Source organism: Homo sapiens, chromosome 5, assembly GCF_000001405.40.
Source record: "Homo sapiens chromosome 5, GRCh38.p14 Primary Assembly".
NCBI lineage: Eukaryota > Metazoa > Chordata > Mammalia > Primates > Hominidae > Homo > Homo sapiens.
This window is the reverse complement of record NC_000005.10, coordinates 146,105,879-146,131,649: the sequence shown is the minus strand read 5'-3', so window position 1 is coordinate 146,131,649 and position 25,771 is coordinate 146,105,879. Positions and strand designations below refer to the sequence as shown.

General features: G+C 36.2%; 1 protein-coding gene across 5 annotated transcripts in view, besides 2 other annotated features; it reads left to right on the top strand.

Moving 5' to 3' along the window:
* LARS1 (leucyl-tRNA synthetase 1) overlaps positions 1-18,616 on the top strand; it is a 69,617-nt gene extending 51,001 nt beyond the window's left edge. For all 5 annotated transcript variants that reach the window (XM_011537656.4, NM_001317965.2, NM_016460.4 and 2 more), the window contains 9 exons: positions 541-631; positions 1,492-1,632; positions 2,532-2,672; positions 2,868-2,978; positions 5,105-5,215; positions 7,564-7,668; positions 9,063-9,158; positions 11,147-11,279; positions 17,339-18,616. In XM_011537656.4, the coding sequence (XP_011535958.1) occupies positions 541-631; positions 1,492-1,632; positions 2,532-2,672; positions 2,868-2,978; positions 5,105-5,215; positions 7,564-7,668; positions 9,063-9,158; positions 11,147-11,279; positions 17,339-17,544 (1,135 nt within the window). In that variant the 3' untranslated portion in view covers positions 17,545-18,616. The remainder of the gene's footprint in view (positions 1-540; positions 632-1,491; positions 1,633-2,531; positions 2,673-2,867; positions 2,979-5,104; positions 5,216-7,563; positions 7,669-9,062; positions 9,159-11,146; positions 11,280-17,338) is intronic.
* Positions 5,370-5,539: an enhancer, noted in NCBI's record as "experimental_81266 CRE fragment used in MPRA reporter constructs". NCBI's record gives its function as "activates a minimal promoter by MPRAs in K562 erythroleukemia cells, with activity observed for both the introgressed and non-introgressed 5:145505759 variant alleles {active_cell/tissue: K562}" and the evidence as "EXISTENCE:reporter gene assay evidence [ECO:0000049][PMID:34662402]".
* Positions 15,809-15,978: an enhancer, noted in NCBI's record as "experimental_81226 CRE fragment used in MPRA reporter constructs". NCBI's record gives its function as "activates a minimal promoter by MPRAs in K562 erythroleukemia cells, with activity observed for the non-introgressed 5:145495320 variant allele {active_cell/tissue: K562}" and the evidence as "EXISTENCE:reporter gene assay evidence [ECO:0000049][PMID:34662402]".

Sequence of the window (25,771 nt, the reverse complement as noted above, 5' to 3'; positions counted from 1 at the left end):
GTGTGGTGGCTTGCGCCTGTAGTCCTAGTACTTGGGAGGCTGAGGTGAGAAGATTCTTTGAGCCTAGGAGTTTGAGGCTGCAGTGAGTTGTGATCATACCACTGCATTCTAGCCTAGGTGACAGAGACCCTGTCTCAAAAAAAAAAAAAAAAAAAAAAAAAAACTTGGCTACAACCTTAGTTAGGCTATTTTCATGTTGCATTTTGGGCTTTATAAGAATAAAGTGTCCATCAGGAAATTTCTGAAGAAGCATCATTTATTGTCATAAACAGGAGCCCTAAGCAGTGTCAGATGACAGTACTTAAGGATGGATAGACAATAGAGAGATTGCAGTAATTTGTTTTAAGGAACGCAAAGATGGTGTTGTGTTGAGCAGTTTTAAATGTTCTGGGCATTGTTCTCATTTTACTGCTTAAATGAGCAGTATTTCAAATTTGTATATTAAAAAGCAGTATTTTAAATTTGTGTATGCAGCAGTTTTTTATAGCTATGTATAAGTGCCTTTAAACTCAATAACCTTTTTTTCCCCGTATTCAATAGTGAATTGAATGCAGGAATTATAAAAACAGATCAAAACTATGAAAAGATGATGTTTAAAGAAGCTTTGAAAACAGGGTTTTTTGAGTTTCAGGTAGGCTGTTGATTCTTTTGGTAGCTATAAAACATGTCAATGTGAACATTATGTATTTTCCCCCTTTTTTCTTCCTGCTATAGCACAATTACTCGCCTAAAGTGTAGACTGAAAATCCTGCCAGAAAAATTTTAAATTCTTCAATAAATTGTGATTTTAAGTTATTATCTTTGGTATTTTTTCTATTGTGTCCATTTAATTTAATAATTCTGCTCCTAGTTAAGCTATGAGCATTAATATAAAGGAGATTAAATCTAAAATTCAGCTATACTTTCCAGGAAAACATTTCAAAATTGATAAAAACAAAGGCAAAATTGTAATTAATTGCCATTAATTTGAGAGCAAGCGTTTTCTGAGGTTTTCCACAAGGTGTCAGTATTTCCTCAAGTTTGGCATTTAAAGTGCTTAAAGTAAAAATGTAGCTTTACGCAATGAGCTGTGTAAAATATCACATTGAGTTTTATATAACTTGGTTTTCAGAGTTGTGGTTAAATAAGGATAAATGGCTGGGCATAGCAATGTGTTGTATTTATAGTCTTTTTTTATATTTAATATCCTATATGCTGCTAAGAGCAGTCACCCTTAATATACAGTTAAAGTTGTTCAACTTTTATGTCTCAGTTACAAACTGTCTGTAAAAAAATTCTTTTTTTGAGAATTATTAGTATAAAACTGCCATATACTTTGGACAAAGATAAATACTTGCAGATTCTTAAAGTAAAACCTTTACAGTAATTTGTTATGGATTTTTAAAAGACTAGAAACTTAAAAATGTGTTAAAACCAAGATACTGCAATTTTTCCCTTTATTTTTATTTTAAAGAAGGTGAGGGAAATGGTAAATAATTTCAAATTTTATAGGCCGCAAAAGATAAGTACCGTGAATTGGCTGTGGAAGGGATGCACAGAGAACTTGTGTTCCGGTTTATTGAAGTTCAGACACTTCTCCTCGCTCCATTCTGTCCACATTTGTGTGAGCACATCTGGACACTCCTGGGAAAGGTACCTTCATGCATTTAAAATGTTTCGAGTGGTTTTGATTTTGGCTTCATTAAATAAGTGTTGTGCTAATATTGTTACTTAAGAGAGAAAGTCTGAAAGTGAGTAATTCAAGAGTAATGCTGGATTCAGCATCATAATTATGACGGGTTAAACCAGAGCTATCTCCTATTCAGATGGATATATGTGCCCTTATTTATATACACAACAGTGCATACATATTTTTAAAAGGTGAAAATATTGAGAAAGATATAAACAATTGTTATGAGCTGCTTAAAAACAAAGATATAGGTGTATATTTGTGTATATTTGTGTAAGTATTCTTGTTTTATATAAAACTTCTGGCATATATAGGACTTAATATTCAGGGATAGTAGCATTCTTACTATGAATATAAATTCAGTTATTTCTCCCAGGCTTACAGATAAATAGATTGGCTGGTTTAATAACTCCTTTCCAGCCATATTAGCTAGGCTCTTTTGTATTTTTAAATGCATGAACAATACAGAAATGTGCTCATGATCTATATACCAAATAACCGTACTTGAATACTGGATGTATTAGCAGGATAAAAACTGAGTGTATGCATAATTTATATAATAATGATTAAATTTAGGCAAATTAGCATTACATAATTTTCTTTGAAAGTGAGCATATGTGTGTGGGTATTAATATGCTTGTACAAATGGATGCTAATTAAGAATGTAGAGTCAGACTTCACAGCTTGAATTCTAGGGAACATTAGATCAGGGGCTGTGCAAGTGTGTTATGTGTAGTCAAGTTTGAACTCTGAGCACACAATTACAGATGGTATCCTTGGTATGAAACTATAATCAAGAACCGTAAAATAGTTATATTGTCTAATCTCACTGAAGGTTTTTTTGTTTTTCTTTTTTTAAAAGCCTGACTCAATTATGAATGCTTCATGGCCTGTGGCAGGTCCTGTTAATGAAGTTTTAATACACTCCTCACAGTATCTTATGGAAGTAACACATGACCTTAGACTACGACTCAAGAACTATATGATGCCAGCTAAAGGGAAGGTAAAGTTTTTTTGTTTTTTTTTTTAAAGGATTATTCCTTAAAAGTTATTGATCAGATAACATTTAACAATAATGAAAGTTAAAAAGATTTTCATTAATGGTGAAGACCGTGGTGGTGTATGTTGGGGGAGGGTTCTTCTCATTTTTGGTTTATATAAAAGCTATTGAATGTTTTTCCTTTCTTTTACCGTCTAGAAGACTGACAAACAACCCCTGCAGAAGCCCTCACATTGCACCATCTATGTGGCAAAGAACTATCCACCTTGGCAACATACCACCCTGTCTGTTCTACGTAAACACTTTGAGGTGATGCTCTCAGTAGACTTTTCCCCCCTGATGGTGTTGTATGCTCCCTATGTTGTTTTTGTTTTTAGGATGTTGGCAATGTCTGGGAGAAGAAAGATAGGCAGCTTTGTTTCATTCCCTCTAGGCAGACAGCATCCTTTTGTTATTCTTGGTGGCTCTTAAATGGATGCTGAGGGAAAAGCTGCTGTTTTCCTCTCATTTCTGAAAAATTTATACAAAAATACATTGGATCTAGTTGAATGTAATCAAAAGAATTGGGGGTTTTCATATGTGTAGTTGAAATGATGAAATAAAAGGACAGAGTTTGCCTTTGGAATTTGTTGTAACTTGAGCAGTGGGAGTCATTCATTAAATTTATTCATTCATTATATTCATTCATTAAATTATTTCAAATCGTAACCTTGTTTATTGTTTGGAAAAAAGTGAAGCTTTGTTCTTGAGTACTTTAAATGTTGTTTGGTTTGATAATTACCTATAGAAATGTAGAGCTTGAAGACATTTTTGGCTGTGCCAGGTAATGATAAATCCACTTAAAGGGAACTCAATAACTTAGATCTAAGTTTTCCTGAAAGAAAAAAATGTATTTTTCCTCTGCATTCAAAATGTAGAAACAAAGTATGTTTATGAACTTTGGCTTTTTTGCTTAGGTTATTAAAACAGTTATTGCTAGATGCAGACCACTAAGGTGCACTTTAAAAAGAGAGACAAAATACGGATTGTGGTCAAAATGTAAAGAAGAAACGTAAAGGAAAAATTCTTAGCTTTGATATTCTAGACCATTATTGGAATTTTGCCTCAACACTTTTCATAGTTAATTAAGAAATGCTAAGAAAAGCTGCTTTTACATATGTAAAATTTGATAGAGAAGAGCAAATGTTTTTGTATTTCTTGTGAGTCTATTTTTGTGGAGAACTATTTCCACCTTTGAGTATATATGATAGAAATAGAAGGTGGCCTTTAGAATCTGCTTGCAGATTTTGAATTAAGGTAAATAAAAGATAAAAGCTACTTTGGTTGGCACAAAAGTGAAACTACCTCAGTGGATTATATATTCATACCAGCAATTTCAAGGAAGCAGTGGAAGAACCCAAATATAATATGTAATGTCTTAGGTATTAAAAAATGCATCACCTCTGTTCTTTTTGAAGTTGTTTTTTTACTTACTATTCATTTGCTAGATAATTGAAAACAGTGGTATCTTTTGGCATTAGCAGCTGTCTTTTAGATTTTTGTATGTTTTCATCCACAGGAATGAAAAGAATGTTCATTTATAATCACGAAGAGTGTTCTTATGTTGAATGTGGCACCATTTTGGTGACATAAGGCAAAGGAGTGTTTCCCACCCTTTTTCTTTTTCGTGTGTTTCAGAGGAATATATTAACAAGTAGAATATTTTTTTCCCATGTACTTTAGTAAAAGTTAGAATTGAAAATAGATTATTTGAAATTGTATTATATGTTCCTTTTCATTTAGATTCATTCCCAACCCTTCTTTTACAATAAAGAGAAAACAAGTTGCCCAAAACTTTGAAAAGACCAGTTGCTTTATTTCTCACTCTATTGAGGGGACCGTTAATATTTGTAGAAAGAAATGAATTTAGATTCATTTAAAGCACACTTGGATTGTACTCATCAGTGATATATGATATGGACATTTATTTTTGAGTAGATAGAAATGATTCTGTTTTTAACAGGTCAGTAGCTAGGGATTCTTTTCACAATTGTGGTAACAGTTTCTTCCAAGTGTCCAAAAGCAGACATTATATAAACTTGTATGATAGTTGTGTAATTTTTTATTTTAATATGACTAATAAAATGCTTTTAGAAATTTGAAAACAAGTTTTTATGAGACCATTTAGTTTCTGAACAGGAGAAATATTCAACACAAATCACTTCTTTTTCTCTTCTAAACTAAAAAGTATGTGTTGTTAATTTATAGAGAATAGGAGAGTTCCTTCTGCATTGTTCATTGAGCTTTCACTTCCCCGTGATGCTAGGGCTGGACACTTTTCTGCTGTTCTCTAAGGATTGATAGAGGCCACCATTCTATGCCTGGTCACATCTACTGTTCTGCCTTATTCTTGAGACTTTTTTTTCTACATTACTCTCCCTCCTTCCTTTTCTTAGGCCAATAACGGAAAACTGCCTGACAACAAAGTCATTGCTAGTGAACTAGGCAGTATGCCAGAACTGAAGAAATACATGAAGAAAGTCATGCCATTTGTTGCCATGATTAAGGTAAGCTGTGGACCTTATGCAGCTGTGACCACATGAGCAATGGTTAGATGGGACAATAGAAGGATGGGGAAAAGCCTTGGACATAGTCTCCTGCCAGAAATCTGCTAAAATAGCACTTTTCAATCAATGACTGAGAGAAATGATCTATCAGATTTTGGGTTTACTTGTGGAATTGCTGAGTATGTGAAAAATATTATTGTGGGAGAAAAATTGGTTTAGAATGGCTGCACTGAACTATTCCCTTCATATTCTACCTTCCCTTCTTTCAAACTCTTTTGGCTTACATTAGGCTTATAGAGGCTTGCATTTCCTAGACCCTATTCCTGGAACCAGGATTCAACATTTGTATAGGTATAGCTTAACAGGGTAAACATTGGTTATAGTGGTTAGACCAGGGTGTCTCAGCATAGCTCTGTTGGTATTTTGGGCTAGATAGTTCTTGTGGGGCACTTTCTTGTGCACTGTAGGATATGTAATGGCATCCCTGGCTTCTACTCATTAGAAGCCAGTAGAACTACCTTTCCTGCTAGTTATGACAATGAAAAATATCTCCAGACATTGCCAAATGTCCGCTGGGGGCAGAATCACCTTCCACTTCTTACCATTGAGAATTATTGGGTTAGACCCTTAGTTTTCTTCATATACGTCGCTGATGTATTACTGGATTTCTTGACAAAAAGAAACCGAAAGAAGGCTTATATTGCTTAAGATCGCAGGCTATGGGGCCAGAAAAATCTTGGTTGAAATTCTGTGTATCAGTCACTCCTTAGTTTTGAGACCTTGGACAAATCACTTAAATTTTCTGGGCTACAGGATTTTTCATCCATAAAATGAGGATACTATAGAACCAAACTTTTTAGGAGTGCTGTGAGGAGTAAATAAAATAGTGTACCTAACACACTTAAGTAGCACTAGTCAAGAAGTAGGCTCAGTAAATGTTGTTTAAAAATACAAATTAGTATCTTCCAGCCTACTAAGCATATTGTAGTTATTCTTGTACTGTCCTTTAATTCTTGTGTCTTCTTGGCTGCAGATGCCTGATGGAGACCAGACCTCTTAACTTCTTCAATATTATAATAGATTAGTATTCTTGGAAAAGGTTTTTAATTCTCTTAGACCAAAGTCACTATTTGATCCTCAGGGTATTTTAAGTTTCAGAAGTAATTTAGAATCCTGTGTTGACCTACACTAATCAAGTTGTAATGTAAGTGCTGGTATGTTCATAGTTCGTTGGTTCCCCAGTGGCTAGTGTCATTGGTCATAATGCCAAATCTCTGTCAACATGTGGATCCAACAAAATATTCCATTGATGGTTGCAAAGGCAATTAATTTTGATGACATGTTTTAAAAGAATCCAGGGAAACCTATTTGAAAAGTAGTTATGTGTATATGTATATATATATAGAGTGTGTGTGTGCGTGTGTGTGTGTGTATAAAATGATATTAGATTCAAGAGTTGGCTTCTTTAGGATCTCATTTAAATTTGAAGAACCAGCATCAGACCGTTTGAGTGGTAATATATTTTTAAAATTATGTTGGTGATTTGCCAGGCAAATTAGTGGTTTTGCAAATTTTGGAAGGGATTAATACATCTGGGAATAAGAAAATGACTTTCTAGCACTTCCATGAGAAAAAGAAATAGAACTTGCATAGTAAGCGAAAACAGTGAGTAGCAGGAATAATATCAGGTCACTTTCATTAAGTATAACATGTTCTAGGTAGTTATATCTGCATATGTACTTGGATCTCTAGGATTCTATTTTGCACAGCAAATATTGACTACCCAAGAAAATTAAGAATAAGAAATTATTTTTTACATGCCATGTTTGAGTACTCATGTAGTATGAGTTTTTTTTCTTTAAACTTTGCAGAAATATCTTTGGGGATTTTTTGTTTGGATATTATTAATTCACTATTCTCTGAAACAGCTTTAAGAAGGTGGTATCTCAGAAAATTAAAATTTTGTTTTTTTTGGGTAACTTAAAGGGATATTTTCACACATTTGGCTGATTCCCTGTAAAGTGAATTCTTTGGGCTTGCATGTTAAGTCAGTCTAAATAAACAATCATAAAACCGTATTTATTTTATAAATCTGAAAACCTTGTGCCTTCCCATCTTTTCAGTGCTGCCATAATCTTATAATACTTTAAAAGATAATTATTTGGAGCTAGTAAATTTCATTAACAAGCAAATGTAGGTAAAGGAAATCATGAGTCCAAGGCCTTTCCTTTAACTCCTGAAATCTGAAGATTTTATCAGTTGAGAGAAGAATGATTACTTTGGAGGAAGTATGTTTTCCAACATATTCTTACTGTGATTTTGTTTTTCCATACCATTTTGGCTATTAGGAAAATCTGGAGAAGATGGGGCCTCGTATTCTGGATTTGCAATTAGAATTTGATGAAAAGGCTGTGCTTATGGAGAATATAGTCTATCTGACTAATTCGCTTGAGGTAAGAGGGCCAGGGATTGTAATAACCAGTTAACTGTAGTTAAACCATAATCCAGCTCTTTTATTTTATAATAAACCTTTTTATAAATTTCATCTTCTGTGTTTAGTATCTTTGTTAAATATATTAGTCGAAAATATTTTTGGAGAGAAGAAAAATGGGTGAGTATAAAAGTTGCAGGAAAAAAAGTGATATGTCATCTTATTTCATCAATTCTTAATTTACATATAATCAATTATACATTAAAAAACTGTATATCTGGCTATTCTACTGCAAATTATTTTTAAGAGACCTTATATTCAAATGCTTTCCAAGCCTCTCATGTTATGGAGTACTCTGAATTGTTGCCTTTTTTCCCCCCTCCCTTTTGATTTGCAGAATTGGATTAATTATAATCTTTGGTTTAGAATTGCTGCACTGATATATTGGTTCATGATATATTATGGTTCATGATATATTATGATTTGGTTCATGATATATTATGATTGTTCCATGTCTTGCCGTGTTTTTTTCCTCCCAATTTATAATAAAATGAACATCCCTGAATTTTCTACCCAATCCAGGAACTAGAACAGTACCAATAGCTTTTATATATCTGTGACGTTCTCCCCATCCAATCTTTGTGCCCCACTCACAACTTTATATATAGATCGTAAATAAGCTGGTCTCAGACAACTTAGGCAAAAGGAAAAGTCATGTGCTCTAGAAAACTGTTAGAGCACTCAAAAAGTGGTCCTAGTAATAATGAAGACACTCAAGTAAAAAAAATATAGGTTTGGAATTTAAGTAAAATTGTTTTGTGAAATACGGAGATGGAAGAAAGTTGTTTCTAATTAAGTATTTTATTTTAAATGAGTTAATGAAATTAATAAATATTAAATGACATCCATTTTATGTATATCTAAATGTTCATATATATTCATGTAGGTCAAAAAACTTCTTGGATCTTTTCACTTGGACCATGCAGACGCACCTTATGTTCAGGGTCATCTTATATTCAGACATATGCACTGTGCTATATTTCTGAGCTTTTCTTCCATTTATTTAAGTGGAAGCCTTTTATTCTCAAATGATAAATTTCTGAACTTCCATTTGTCTTAAGTGGAAGCCTCTTATGCTGATTTTCATTTTGTTTTATATGGCAGATAGATGCCAGATTTCATTATAGAAAATGATAAACATGACTATATAAATAACAATACTATGAGACATCTAAAACGAATGTTAAATAACTGATTACAGATTTCATTTAATATTTATATGGAAAATAATAAAATTGCACAGACCATTTCATGTTAACTGGAGAACCTAGTTTTGTTCTTGGTGAAATGAGGTGATGATTAATTTGAATCACATTAAGTGATACTAATAACTTCCATTTTTTCCCGTCTGTTTAGCTAGAACACATAGAAGTCAAGTTTGCCTCCGAAGCAGAAGATAAAATCAGGGAAGACTGCTGTCCTGGGAAACCACTTAATGTTTTTAGAATAGAAGTAAGTTGAAGGAATCTCACTGAATCATTGCATTTTAAAACCAGAAGAGACCTAGAGATCATTACATCTAAACCCACATTTAAAAAATAGAACAAAGTAAGGTCCAGAGAAATTAAGTGGTTGGTTTGTTGTAGACCCCATAGAGTGTTAGAAATGGGGATGTACCTGAAATGTCCTAATTCCTTGGTCAGTGCAATACTTACCTTTTCCTCAGTTTACTATTATAGGAACTATCAGATGTTATTTGTGGGTTTTAAAAATAGAAAGTATGATTTTCAAAATCTGGTTTTTATTTAAAAATACTGGAAATGTAGGACCTTTTTAGACAGTTAAAAGGAGCTTTTAAACCTCAGATGAGTCTTGGTTTGATTGTTATTCAAGGCTGTTTTGTATAAACTGGATTGATGCATAATCTTAAGTTATGCTGGAATAGCTTTTTTTAACCTCTTAGTTTTTGGCTGTTATTGGTGAAGACAAAAAGGTTTTGGATATTCTGTTTTTTGTTTGTTTGTTTGTTTTTTAATTTAAGTTCTGGGATACATGTGCAGAACATGCAGGTTTGTTACATAGGTATACACGTGCCATGGTGGATTGCTGCACCCATCTACCCGTCATCTACATTAGGTATTTCTCTTAACGCTATCCCTTCTGTTGCCCACCCCACCCTGACAGGCCCTGGTGTGTGATATTCTCCTCCCTATGTCCATGTGTTCTCATTGTTCAACTCCAGCTTGGGAGTGAGAACATGCAGTGTTTGGTTTTCTGTTCCTGTGTTAGTTTGTGGAGAATGATGGTTTCCAGCTTTATCCATGTCCCTACAAAGGACATAAACTCATCATTTTTTATGGCTGCATAGTATTCCATGCTGTATATGTGCCACATTTTCTTTATCCAGTCTATCATTGATGAGCATTTGGGTTGGTTCTAAGTCTTTGCTATTGTGGCCCGTGCTGCAGTAAACATATGTGTGCCTGTGTCTTTATAGTAGAATGGTTTATAATCCTTTGGGTATATACCCAATAATGGGATTGCTGGGTCAGATGGTATTTCTGGATCTAGATCCTTGAGGAAGGACATTCTGTTTTTTTAGTCTCAAAGAATCCATTCAGATTGGCAGCATTTGGCAAAGTCCAGGGGACTGCAATTGGGAGAGTCTGTAAACTGCCCTCCTTGTCTTGATAAGCAGAGGACTTAGATATGTTTTTTTACTTTTGCCACATTTGAAAACCCAGCAAACAGAAAAGGCCTATTTTGAAAGAATAAGGAAATCGTGATTATGGATACCTCCTGAATTTAGCATCATGTAAGGAATATGCTCATTGCATTAAGATGTGGTAGCTTTTAATAGTTCAGTCATTTGAGCCATGGAGATAGGTATATGAAAATATTCCTTATACAAATATATTTATTTCAAACCATTTTCAAGTATTCTATTAAGATACTATGTATTTAAGTCTTTCACAAGACTCATTTGACTTTTTTCCACTTAAAAATAATAAACAGGGTTCTGGACTATGTAGCTTCTATAAGTACAACATAGGTTTATGTTGAATCTTGACCTTGCCACTTACTAGCTGTGTGACCTTGTGCTGATTTTTAATCTTTCTGGTTCTCAGCTTCTCTTTTGTGAAAAAGGGTACAAAAGAACTACTTCAGGGATATAGAACTAACGTCGATGAAGTGCTTAGTACAATGCCTAATACATAGTAGAGATTCAGTGAATGATGGTGGTTGTGGAAGAGAAAATGTAGTTATTGTTAGTGTCCATCATTGGTGTTGATATATGTAGTTGTAGTCATCTTTACCTAGGCATTTGGTTATAAGCATGAGCTTGTACAGCTTTTCTTTCATATTTGAGTACTCCTTAGTCATGATTTTAAAATACCAGAATTAGATCTGTCTTTCATTGGGCATTGAAAACGTAGCAGAGATTCCTCCTCCCTCAGCAGTATTCAAGTTAAACAATCATTTTCTTGTTGTTTTCCTAGCCTGGTGTGTCCGTTTCTCTGGTGAATCCCCAGCCATCCAATGGCCACTTCTCAACCAAAATTGAAATCAGGCAAGGAGATAACTGTGATTCCATAATCAGGCGTTTAATGAAAATGAATCGAGGAATTAAAGGTAAGTTGTTCCCCAAAACTCCCATTTGTCAGTAGCTTGTAGATTTGGTGAGTTCTAAGCAGAAAGGAAAAAGAAAAGAAACCGGCTTGCTTATGGACAGCTGTGTATTATTATGGAAAAAGTACTGGGATCAGAATCAAGAAAACTATTCTTTTTGGGACTCTGTGGCTAGGTAGCTTAGTGGCTTTGCCATGTCACTTAAGCTCAAAACTGATTTTTCATTTACTAATGTGAGGACAATAGAGGGATTAGATAGTTTTCATCTTTCTTTCTAGCTCTAAAATTGTAATGAGTGATTTCTGTCTCTCAGAGATATTCAGAATCAAGGAACACATACCCTTAATATTCTAAACTAACCTGTCCAGCAGGTCTGTTCCTTGAGAAGGAAGAGAAACAGAGTAAAAGTTATTGCATGTCTTCCATGTATTAACCATTTAATCCTTTTACAGTTCTATAATGTAGAGGGTATTCTTATTATTTCCCTTTTATAGATGGTGAACTGGAGGCTAAAAAGGCTAAGTAACTTGCAAAGTTTGTTTAGCTAGTAAACTCTAGATCTGGAATTCAAACAGGTCTGTTTGACTCCAAAGCTCATATTCTTTCTTCTAAACAATGTGCCTCCAGGTAAAATATGTCAGTAATCTTAACTTATTATCAAGAATAAGTCTGCATCTTTTGTGATTAGATTCAATGTAATAATTTATGGCTTTTCTTTTCGTCATCCAGCCAGGTCCTACGGTGAGCAGAGTGTGAAGGGAGATAGTGTGTCTCTCTTATTTTTCTTCTGAGCTATGAAAACAAATTAATGTTGTGATTCTCTATTTTGTATTATCTGTCTTTTTTCTTTTTGATAGCAATCAAAAGTTGATTGGCCACTTTCCATCACTACAAAAATTTTCTAAAAAGATTTATAAATCCCTAACAATAACCTAATTTATGGAACTATATTAGGGTAGTAACATGAATTAAAATAGGAGACTTGAAATAGCTCTTGGGAATTCATTCTGTCATTTATTTTGTGTTCTCTCGAAGTTGTTTCCCTTCTGTGGATACTTATTGAGACACTAATATATGTAGTGTTTGTAGAGACAACTGTGTATGTAGAGACTCCTTTGTATGTACTGGGGCTTTGGGGAGTCCACAGAGTGCTGTTCATTAGGAGCTGCATCTAGTAAAGGAGTAGGGAACTAAGCTATTGCAGTGTATGATAATGTAAGGAGAAATTGCTGAGTGTAGTAAGAAAGGTACAGGTAAAATGTATAGCACAGAGGAACGTGAGATTATTTCCACTTGCAGGGATCAGGGACTAATTTATGGAGAAAATACTGTTTGGATGGGGCCTTGAACATTATACCCATAAAGGTAAGGGGAAAGGGTATCCAGGAGGGAAATACCAGTTGCTTTTGTTTCTCTGTGTACAGAGCATCAGCAGCAACAGTATACTAGGGTTAGGGATGTTGTTGTTTATAGGTGTATTTTTTAATTGTGGTAAAATATACCTAACATAACATTTACTATTTTAGTCATTTTTATGTGTACAGTTCAGGAGGCTTGAATACATTCACATTGCTGTGAAACCATCACCACCATCCATCTCTACAACTTCGTCATCATCCCAAATTGAAACCCTATACCCATTAAATAATAACTCCCATTCTCCTTCCCTCCAGTCCCTGGTAATCACTGCTCTACTGTCTTTTTTTCTTTTAAGTTTTATTTTTGACAGATAAATGTACATATTTATGAGTACAGTGTGAGGTTTGGTACATATTTACAATGTGTAATTATCAAATTAGGATAATTAACATATCCATCACCTCAAACATTTATCATTTCTTTGTGGTGAGAACATTCAAACAGCTCCTCTTACAGCTATTTTGAAATGTACCATATATTATTATGAACTGTAGTCATCTACTGTGTAATGGAACAGTATAACTTATTCCTCCCATTTAATTATAACTTTGTACCTGTTGACCAACCTCCTTCCAGTCCCCTCTCTTCCATCCTTCCCAGCCTCTGATAACCATGATTCTATTCTCTACTTCAATGAAATCAACTTTTTTAGATTCCACATGTGAGTGAGATCATGCGATATTTGTTATTCTGTGCCTTTCTTATTTCACTTAATATAATGTCTTCCAGCCTCATCCATGTTGTCACAAATGACAGGACTTCATTCTTTTTTATGTCTGCATAATATTTCATTGTTTACCACATTTTCTCTTTTCATTCATCCGTTGATGGACACTTAGGTTGATTGCATATCTTGGCTATTGTGAATAGTGCTGCAATAAACATGGGAGTACAGATATCTCTTCAACATACTGATTTCATTTCTTCATTTCTTACTGGATATATGTCCAGTAGTGGGATTGCTCGATCATATTGTAGTTCTATTTTTAATACTTTGAGGAACCTCGATACTGTTTTTTATAGTGGCTATACAAATTTACATTCGCACCACACTGTTCTACTTCCTACCTCATGTATTTGACTGTTCTCAGTACCTCATATAATTGGAATCACACAATATTTTTCCTTTTGTGTCTAGCTTATTTCACTTAGCAAAATATCTTCAAGTTTCATCATGTTATATGCATTTATTATGTCCTCTCAGTGAACTAGGTACCATAGAATGATAGCTTCATCCTCAGAACTTATAGGCCACAAGAAGCAGAAAGAGCATGATAGTGGCTTTTAAAGAAAATAGATATGTGTGTGGACCCACTGGATAGGATTATATTTATTTACTTATTTTGAGATAGAGTCTCCCTCTGTCACCCAGGCTGGAGTGCAGTGGCACAATCTCAGCTCACTGCAACCTCCATCTCCCAGATGCAAGCAATTCTCATGCCTCAGCCTACTGAGTAGCTGGGATTATAGGCATGAGCCACCACACCTGGCTAATTTTTCTATTTTTAGTAGAGACAGGGCTTTGCCAACTTGGCCAGGCTAGTCTTGAGCTCCTGGCCTCAAGTGATCTGCCTGTCTCGGCCTCCCAAAGTGCTGGGATCACAGGGATGAGACACCGGCCCTGCTTGGATGGGATTATTATGATGTTATAGCACATAAAAGGATGTATTTCTGTATTGAAAATTGTATTATATTATGTTAAATCTACCTCTGTTTTAAATGTACTCAAATATAGCACTGACTAGGTTCTGCAGAATTGTACTGAAATGTATTTCCTATTTCTTGTCTTTTCTCATTGAGCCTTTGGCATAATTCTTATCTCCTTTGTCATACTAGCTGTGAAAAATATTATCTAAAGTGTCTTAAGTTTGATGTTAGTAGCTGTTGTAAATTTTAGAAAATAGAAACATTAGAGAGAGTTTGAAATTGCTATTCCTATAAGTATCTGCAGAAGAGATCTAACCTTGATACTTTACCAAAAGCCCTCAGGATGCCTTGATATCTAAAAGGCCTGAGTATATTCAGTATATGAGATGGAAGAGGAGTTAAATTCAGTAACATAGTTATTGGTCTGTTTGCTGCAATAGACAGCAAATTGTCCAATTAGTGCCAGTTGTATTGAGGGTAATTATGATCTGGGTCCGGGAGGAACTGAACTAAAACTATCATTTCATTCCACAAAGGCCACTGAGTAAACTATCTGATGGTAATAAATTTGAATCACTCACAACCCATGCCATATGTGAACTAACAACTTGGAAGTGAAAGCCTTCATTTCTCGTTATCAGTCCCTAGGGACTTAGAATCACTCTCATCTTTTCTCTAAGAGCCTTAAATCTTATGTAGTTGCAGGCTTAAATTTCAACAGTTTCAATGATAAGAGAAGTCTGGGATAAAAGACAGTTAAACCAGTAAGAAAGCTCTACGAATCTATGGACAGTAATGAACTACATGGTGAAACATCAAAGCAAATATGTTTTGTCACTTAGAAGCCTGATTGAGTATTAAGGTTTCTTTGAACTAGTTTGATTCAGAATTGCTTGGAATGATGAGGGAGGTCTGTTTTAGACAGAGAGAAAGAGTGTGTGTGTATGAGAGAGAAAGAGGCAGAGGCAGATCCGCAGTAAAAGGCCTTATGCATAAAATCTGCTGGCAGAACTTGTCACTGCATCTATAGCAAAATATTTGGTACCACTGATGTGTACGTTGAATTGCAATAGCTGTTAAAATTAATTGTATTCTTCCCCAAAATAAGATCGTGGCTGTCATGAAGATTGCGCCTGCTCTCTTCCCATTTTAATTTTCAGGGCTCGTACTGTGTCTGGGAATAGATTGTATGGTCCCTGCAGAAACTCTCCAAAGACTCTTAGACAGGGTTTGCTTTTGTGGTAGTCGCAGGTAATTGTTCTATAAGCCCCTTCTCTAAACTTCGGTCTTTGTTTCCCGAAGAGGACAGAATGCATGGATAACTTGTATTCTTGGTTGGCATGGCCGCCAGCTGCATTAAAGTCTTCTTTTATCTCTTATCCCTCTTATACTAAGCTTTGTACTCTCAAGTCAACATGAGGGAGGGTAGCTCAGGTGTGTTTCAGAAAGAAATGGGAAGTAATTCAGAAAATATCTTCTATTTCTATGGATCAGGTTAAGGATAACTAGCCATGCTACACTTCGAATGAGATATAAACCCAGAATCAGCATTTGTAGTCATTTCTGGTGTTTTTCTGCCATATAAAATAAAACCATTTGATGTTGGGAAGTCTCAGAATTGCTGAAATAAATATACTTCTTTTGGGCTCAGTTGTTGGCAGGATTGTTGACTTACAAAGTTGTTCAAGAGACAGGTGCTTTTTTTTTTTTTTTTTTTTTTTTTTTTGGTCAGGCGCTATTTTTTCAGCTTGCATAAGAGCAGATTAGGAAAATCTCAAGCAGGGTGGGTATTAGACCTCATCCTACAGCTAAAAATTCTGAAAGCTTAAATTTCTGTCCTTTCTCTGCCTTGTCCCCGCTCTCCTTGTCTCATCAACTTGTTAATACAAATACTTTCATCTTTTGAGCAAATGAGAAACTGGTAATGCCATTTCTTAGAGTAGTCATTATTTATCCAAAAGTATCTCTGAGAAAAGCTACAATTCTTGCAAGTTTAGTGTATTCCAGGGAGCTCAAGAAAGGGGTAAGTTTTAGATTTTTCGATATTCTGTACAATGGTTAATTGAAGCATATAAAAATGATTTGAGAGACCATATAGGATAATGCTAAAAAATACACACAATTCTTTCTCTCTCTTAGTTTGTAATTCCAGGAGATGTCAGAATCTCTGACACTTTGAGCTGGGTAAAAGCTGAAAGGGGATGAAGATTTGCTACATTTTAGCTTTGCTCCTGGGATTGTTTTTTTTTTTTTTTTTTTTTCCCCCCGACAGAATCTTGCTCTGTTGCCAGGCTGGAGTGCAGTGGCGCGATCTTGGCTCACCGCAACCTCTGTCTCCTGGGTTCAAGCAATTCCACTGCCTCAGCCTCCCTACTAGCTGGGACTACAGGCATGCACCACCATGCCCGGCTAATTTTTTGTATTTTAGTAGAGATGGGGTTTCACCATGTTGGTCAGGATGGTCTCGATCTCCGGACCTCGCGATCTGCCCACCTCAGCCTCCCAAAGTGCTGGGATTAAAGGCATGAGCCACCATGCCCGGCCACTGCTTTTTTTGTTTGTTTGTTTGTTTGAGATAGAGTCTCACTTTGTTGCCCAGGCTGGCATGCAATGGTGCGATCTTGGCACACTGCAACCTCTGCCTTCCAGGTTCAAGCGATTTTCCTGTGTCAGCCTCCCAAGTAGCTGGGATCACAGGCGCCCATCACCAGGCCCAGCTAATTTTTTTGTGTTTTTAGTAGAGATGGTGTTTTGCCATGTTGGTCAGGCTAGTCTCGAACTCCTGTCCTCAAGTGATTCACCCGCCTCAGCCTTCCAAAGTGCTGGGATTACAGGTGTGAGCCACCGCACCCAGCGTGGCTTTTATTTAATAATCTGAAGAAAATATTTTTGTTTAGATATAACAACCAGCGTATTTAAAACGTGAGTTCTCAGACTGCTCCAGGGTTTGAGTGACTGTAATTAAATGCTTATATTGATAATTTATTTTGTTGTAGACCTTTCCAAAGTGAAACTGATGAGATTTGATGATCCACTGTTGGGGCCTCGACGAGTTCCTGTCCTGGGAAAGGAGTACACCGAGAAGACCCCCATTTCTGAGCATGCTGTTTTCAATGTGGACCTCATGAGCAAGAAAATTCATCTGACTGAGAATGGGATAAGGGTGGATATTGGCGATACAATAATCTATCTGGTTCATTAAACTCATGCACATTGGAGATTTATCCTGGTTTCTTAGGAATACTACTACTCTGATTGTGTCTACTGATTGGCTATCAGAACCTTAGGCTGGACCTAAATAGATTGATTTCATTTCTAACCATCCAATTCTGCATGTATTCATAATTCTATCAAGTCATCTTTGATTCCTGGACCTAATAAATTTTTTTTCCCTTTCTTTGGGTGTCCAAGAGAAATGGTTTTTGCCAAACTCTTTTTAAAAAACAAATTGTTGCTATTTCCTAGAAGTTTCTGGTTTTTAAGATGAACATAAAAGTGTCAGTATGCTTCTTTTATGAGGTGTACTTTATACTTTGATGAAGGCTAAGGTGTACCTAACAGCTTTTTATAGTATATTCATTTATGGAGTTAGCTGTATTTTTTTTTAAAAAAGAAAAGTAGTAAATTAGCAGCTTTTTTTTTTAAATGAAGAGAACTTCATGATGATTTAAAAGAACTAATGAGAATATTTTGACTTGACTTCAATTACTAAGTATTTTGTATAAAGAACAAATAGGTCCTGCATTTTATAAGACTTTTTAAAGCTTTAATTATTCAACTAAGAACCAATAATGGCTTCTTCAAGGCTAATATCAATAGTTTATAAGCAGTATATTTCACCTACACTAAATATGGGCATTTTAAAAGAAGATTCCCCCCTTCCCCCCCAGAAATCTGCATTTACTAAATTTGTCTTAAGTCCAATTGTGTTTAAAGGTCATGCTGGTCGGGTGTGGTGGCTCACACCTATAATCCCAGCACTTTGGGAGGCCAAGGTGGGCAGTCACCTGAGGTCAGGAGTTTGAGACCAGCCTGACCAACATGGTGAAACCCCGTCTCTACTAAAAATACAAAAATTAGCTTGGCATGGTGGCGGGTACCTGTAATCCCAGCTGCTTGGGAGTGTGAGGCAGGAGAATCGCTTGAACCTGGGAGACCGAGGTTGCAGTGAGCTGAAACCGTGCCATTGCACTCCAGCTTAGGCAACAAGAGTGAAACTCTGTCTCAATCAATCCATCAATCAATCAATAAAATAGAGGTCATGCTGACTATTACAGATTTATTCTTTTATTCTTGTTGGAGTGTCTTTTAATATCTGCGCCATCTGTCTTCATATGAGGAAAAAATGTAAGGCATTGACTAACAGGAGAAACATTTCTAATTTTGATGGGTTTAATATGGAGAAAGAACAATTTTGATAACCCAGAGGAACCTGAATTCTAACTGCGGTTATGTAAATAGAGTTTATTGAGCTTCCTTATTTTGCTCTCCGCAGTTAGGGACCACTAGGCCTAGTCATATGGTTTATCACAGATTTATTGAAGCCAATCATAGGATGTTAGAATTAGAAATCATCAAGTGCAAATAATCACTTATCTACTAGGGACAGGCACTATAGCATAGTGGGGTAAGAGCGCATGCTCTGAAATCAGACTAGCTAGGTTAGATTTCCAGTTCTTCTTTTTGCTACTAGGATGCTCTTGGCCAATTACTCGGAGCTGCAGTTCTTCATCTATAAAATGGAACTAATACTGGTACCTTGTAGGCTTATTGTGAGACGTTTAGGTGAACTGATCTAGGAAAATCATAACACAGTGCCTGGCAAGTAGTAAGTCTTTAGTGAATGTTACCATTGAAGAAGAAGAAGATGATGGATACCAAGGTATATTGGCTTCAGATTACTGTAGTCTGTAATCATGTCCTTTGTGTTGGTTCCTTTGGGGCAACTGATTCTTTCTTTGCACTCCTCTAGATTCTTTTGCTGTCCTCTCTGATCTGCAAAGCCTTAATTATTTCTGAAATTAAGTAATACTTTCTGTTGCCTAAACACAAACCTACTTGTGTTTAACTTAGGAAAATTAAACTATGTGTGCTTGGCCAGAAAAAAAAAAAGAGAGAGAAAGGAAAATAATATTGTGATTGTGTTCATCTTATGAACCTGTACTGTTTTGGATTAGGTGTGAGTTGAGATTCATGGATCCTTTGTTTTTTCAGTCTTGATTTCTGTGTGTCTCTCTTAGAATAAGCTTCTTGCTGTGCTGAATATGCTTCTTATGTGTAGAGATACAAATGTTTTGTATAAGGAGTCGTCTGAGCATAAGCCCATTACTTCATCTGGTACTCAACAGAAGAACCAGCAGTTAGTTGAAATGCTGAAGGAAAAACAGGCTACACTGGGCTTATTCTATTATTAACAATAATATAATTGGGTGCATAATAATAATGTTATATATAACTTATGTTAGTGCCTTCCTAGAGGATTTTAACTCTTTTTAAGTTTTGAAATACAATGCACATACACAAAAAGTGAGCAAAAAATATACACACACAAAAAATGAACTTCCTTTCTCTCCCCACCTCCAAAAAAAGAATTTATTAATAAAGCAAACACCTGCACAGTCACCAAACAGTTGAAGAATGGCACAGTGCCAGCACCACAGAGGTCTGCCTTTTGCCTTCTCTGGTCGCTAGAGATAAGCTTTCTGGCCCAGTATATGTCAGTTTTTATAAATGTTGCATTTGAGCTTGAAAAAAATATATATTCTGTAAATGCAAAAGTACTGTATGTGTCCATTAGGTCAGAGTTGTGGATTGAATTGTTCAAACCTATATCCTTACTGTTTTCTCTCTTTCTGTTTTTGAGAGGTATACCAAAATCTCTCATGACAATGAAATTTACCTGTATCTTGTTATAATTCTGACAGTTTTTGTTTTATATATTTTGAGGCTGTTTTGTTAGGTACATATAAATTCAGATTATATTCCTTCTGGTAAGTTGAACTTTTTCTAGTTAGAAAGTGTTTCTTTTTTGCCCAGGCTGGAGTGCAGTGGCACGATCTCGGCTCGTTGCAACCTCTGCCTCCCAGGTTCAAGCGATTCTCCTGCCTCAGCCTCCCGAGTAGCTGGGATTACAGGCACTTGCTACCACGCCCGGCTAATTTTTGTATTTTTTTTCTTTTTCTTTATTATTATTATTATTATTATTATACTTTAAGTTTTAGGGTACATGTGCACAATGTGCAGGTTAGTATACATGTGCCATGCTGGTGTGCTGCACCCACTAACTTGTCATTTAGCATTAGGTATATCTCCTAATGCTATCCCTCCCCCGTCCCCCCACAATTTTTGTATTTTTAGTAGAGACAGGGTTTCACCATTTTGGCCAGGCTGGTCTCGAACTCCTGACCTCGTGATCCACCTGCCTTGGCCTCCCAAGGTGCTGGGATTATAGGCGTGAGCCACTGCACCCGGCCATTTCTCTTTATTTTTAATTAATTTATTTTTTGCCTAGAGACCACTTTGCCTAACAATATAGTAACACCAGTTATCTTTTGGTTAACGTCCATGCAGACTATCTTTTCCATTCATTTACTTTTAACCTTCAGTAGTTTTATTTTCTTTTAACACTTCATTTCGAGAAATTTTAAGCCTACAGAAAAGTGGAAAGAATTGGCCAGTAAACATCCATGCGCTTGTCACCTAGATTTGCCAATTGTTAATATTGTGTCACGTTTACTTTATCTCTCTAAGTATCTATTTTTAAAATAAACTTTTAATTTTGGAATAGTTTTGGACTTACATAAAAGTTGCATCTTTAATATGGAGAGATCCTGTACATCTTTTACACAGTTTCTCCTGTTAACATCTTACTTAACCTTGGTTTAGTTGTTAAAACTAAGTAATTAACATGAGTACATTATGATTAACTAAATTGTATACTTTGTTTGGATTTCACCAATTTTTCTATTAATTTTTTTTACTATTATGGGATCCTATCCAGGATAACACATTGTATTTAGAAAATATTTTTTAAAAATTCAGAACCATTTGACAGTAAGTTACAGACACCATGACACTTCATCTTCCCATAGGTTATCACGCAACTCCTAAGAACTTGGACATTCTCCTATATAATCACAGTGTTGTTATTATGCCCAAGAAATTTAACATGATACAATAATATTAGGTAATAAGCTTTTCTAGTAAAACTTCCCCAATGTCTCATCAATAATGTGTTCTTTGAAAAACTCTCAGGATTCAAAGATCAAGTATTACATTTTGTGGTTAGGTCTGTTAATCTCCTTTAAACTAGGGTAGTTTCTCTGTTCTTTTTTTGATCTTTCATGACAGTAACATCTTTGAAGACATCAAGCTGGTCGTTAGCATGATGCTTACAATCTGGATTTCTGTATTTTCTCATGGTTGTAATCAGATTTAAAATTCTTGGCAAGATTACTACATAGGTGATGTTTCCCACTGGATCATGTCAGGATTAATGTATTGTGGATTTGATTAGCATCATATTTCTCGGTTGAAAAGCTACTCTTCCTTTTTGTAATTAAGTAGTCTGTGAGCTGATACTTTGAGGCTTATATGAATATCCTGCTGTTATGATCTGAGTGTTCATGTCCCCCCAGAATTTATATGTTGAAACTTAATCTTCACGGTGTTGGTATTAAGAGGTGGGGCCTGTAGGAGGTGATTAGGTCATGAGGGTGGCTTCCTCATGAATGGGATTAGTGCTCTTACAAAAGAGGCTTGAGGGAGTCCTGTTGCCTTTATGCCATGTGTGGACACACAAGGCACCAGCTATAAGGAATGGGCCCTCACCAGAAGTTGAATATGCTGGTGCCTTCCTCTTGGACTTCCTAGCCTCCAAAACTAGCAATACATTTCTGTTGTTTATAAATTACCCAATTTAAGGTATTTTGTTAGAGCAGCCTGAAGGGACTAAGACATTTGTTTATCAGCTAACTTTCATGAAGTGGTAGCATTCATGGATAAGCTGTCAGTTATTGCATTGATGGTTGTAATATGGTGAGTTCTTAAAAATGATAAAATTATTATTTCTTTTACATTTATTAGATATTATTCTTTTGTGAAGAAGATGTTTCCTTTTTGCTGCCAATTTTTTTTCTTTTCTTTTTCTTTCTTTCTTTTTTTTTTTTGAGACAGGGTCTGGCTCTGTTGCCCAGGCTGGAGTGCAGTGGTGCAGCGTCAGCACATTGCAACCTCTGCCTTCTAGGTTCAAGCCATCCTCCCTCCTCAGCCTTCCTAGTAGCTGGGACCACAGGTGTGTGCCACCGTGCCTGGCTAAGTTTTTTGCATTTTTCATAGAAATGGGGTTTCACCATGTTGCCCAGGCTGATCTTGAACTCCTGAGCTCAGGTGATCCACCTGCCTGAGCCTCCCAAAGTGCTGGGATTATAGGTGTGAACCACTGTGTCTGGCCCCAGTGTTCTTCTTTCATCATTCTTTTAAAATCACTGTGGACTGATGGATTTCTTTTTTTCATATGTGCTATAATCTATTACCATCATTATTCTTTGAACGCTCAAATTCTGAGTTAACCAGTGGAAGCCCCATTCAAGCTGGCTGCAGTACAATATTTGTCCTTTTTATAACTCCACATTAATTTTGGGGCATTTCTTTGTATAATGGCATAAGAAGTTCCCAACTTGCCTTGTGTTTTCTGTTTCAGAACTAGAAATCAGTCTTTTCTCCAGAGAGCTTTGCTTCATTTTAATGGAGAGTGTTATTAAGAAACCAAGATCCAGGCGCTACTAGGACATTGTTTTTCAGGCCCTTCCAATAGACAGAACTAAGAAATACATACAGTAGTGTTTTTTAAAATCATAATTTTATCTAATACCACTGAATTCTCTCTCATCTTTTCCCCTTTGCAATTGTATTTCCCTTCTCACACAGTGAGAACTCTGGTTCTCAAGAACCTCAATATATTTAGTCATTTAGTCTATTAAAAATTTCAGAATTGCCAATCCAATTCTGTTAGCAATAAATAAGTACAGTATTTGGTTTTGTTTGTTTTGCAATTCTTTGTGTCCTTAGAACATATTTCTCTAAGGGATATAGTCAGAGCACTATTTAAATATTTCCTGAATTCTTTTTTGTATGTGGTTGCTTGCTTTTTTTTTTTTTTTTTTTGATGACAGAGTCTCACTCTGTGGTCCAGGCTAGAGTGTAGTGATGCAATCAGAGCTCACTGCAGCCTTGATCTCCCGGGCTTAAGTGATCCTCCTGCCTCAGCTTCCCAAGTAGCTGGAACTGCAGGCATGCACCACCATGCCTGGCTGGTTTTTTTCTTTAATCAAGAAATGTTTCTTGGATTCTTTCTTGTATGTGCTTTTAATATAAAATTAAAGCCATTCATTTCTCTTTATATTCAGTTTTATGGTTTGCTTTTTCTTTTTATCTGATTTTTGAATAAGTAAAAATACATGATTCAGCCAGATGTGGTGGCTTGTGCTTGTAATCCCAGCCCCTTGGGAGGCTGGAGTGGGAGAGTTCAAGACCAGCCTGGGCAATATAGTGAGACCCTGTCTCTAAAAAAAAAATTTTTTTTTTCAAATTAGCCAGTTGTAGTGGTTCATACCTGTAGTCCCAGTTACTTGGGAGGCTGAGGCAGGTGGATCACTTGAGTCTAGGAGTTCAAGACTGCAGTGAGCTGTGATCATGCTCTTTAAAAAGAAAAAAATCTGCCAGGTGTGGTGGCTCACGCCTGTAATCCCAGCACTTTTGGAGGCCAAGGCAGGTGGATCACAAGGTCAGGAGATCAAGACCATCCTGGCTAACATGGTGAAACCCCATCTCTACTAAAAATACAAAAGAAATTAGCCGGGCGTGGTGGCGGGTGTCTATAGTCCCAGCTACTCGGGAGGCTGAGGCAGGAGAATGGTGTGAACCCGGGAGGCGGAGCTTGCAGTGAGCCGAGATCGCACCACTGCACTCCAGCCTGGGCGACAGAGCGAGACTCCATCACAAAAAAAAAAAAAAAAAAAAGAAAAAATCTTTTTTTCTCTTCCTTTTTCTTCCCTCCTTCCTCTTTTGCCCCTCTTCTTTCCTTGCTCATGTAATACTATTGTAAAGGTGTACCTTAGTTTATTCAACCAGTCTCCATGGATGGACATATAGGTTGTTTCTAAGTTTTTAATATTTTATAGAATGTGTATGGAATGATATAGTGAGTAACCTCATGAATAATGTCATTTCACTTTTGTGGAGGTATATCTTCAGAGTAAATTTGTAGAAGTGGGCTTGTGGGTCTGAGGGTAAATGCATATGTAGTTTTGTTAGCACGTATGTGGTCAAAAGCATTTTTTGCCCTGAGGCAGGGGCATGTAGCTGGTGTGCTGAAGGAATAGCAAGGAAGCCACATGAAGAAACAGGTCAAAGTCACTGGCTCAAGATCCTATGTATTAGCAGCAGAGTTGAATTAGAGCCCTGGCCTCCATCTTCATTGCACTTAGACAACAAAGAATTCGTGCATGGAAAACAGGAATGTATTTGACCAAGGCCAGTGTTACCAGGGCCATTAGGAGGTCAGAGAAAGGAGAAGTTTATATGGACCCCAGTCAGGTAGAAAATACTTCACCCCAAAATTTACAGCATCAATAAGATTTGTAATGGCCCTCTGCTGTGCATAGAGCTTGTATTAGTGTGTTTTCTTTTCTTTTTCTTTTTTTTTTTTTTGAGACAGAATCTTGCTCTGTCATCTAGACTGGAGTGCAGTCGAATGATCTTGGCTCACTGCAACCTCTGCCTTCCAGGTTCAAGCGATCCTCTTGCCTCAGCCTCCTGAGTAGCTGGGATTACAGTGCCTGCCACCACGCCTGGCTAATTTTTGTATTTTTAAGTAGAGATGGGGTTTCACCACGTTGGCCAGGCTGGTCTGAAACTCCTGACCTCAGATGATCTGCCCGTCTCAGCCTCCCAAAGTGCTGGGATTACAGGTGTGAGCCACTGCATCTGGCCTAGTGTGTTTTTATACTGCTATAAAAAACTACCTGAGACTGGGTAATTTATTTAAAAAAGAGTTTTAATTGACTCAGTTCCACAGGCTATACAGGAGGCATGGCTGGGGAGGCCTCAGGAACCTACAATCATGGAGGAAGGGTGAAGGGTAATGTTAAAGATACATTTTGATCACTTCTAGGACCTTCTGATGTAAAGGCATATTTGTTAAAATCACACCCAGAGCTTTTATTGTAAGGGTACTTTTTTTTTCTTACACTTTCAGAACTTTCCAATGTAAATATGCATTTTGAGTACTTCTGGAATTTTTCATAGTTAAGGTACATTTTCTCTTTTGCAATTAGAAATATGTGGAATAGTTATATTTTTGCACCTTGAGAATATTTGGTTCCTAATCTTTTTTATCTAATGGTTTTAATGCTTCTGAATTTCCTTCC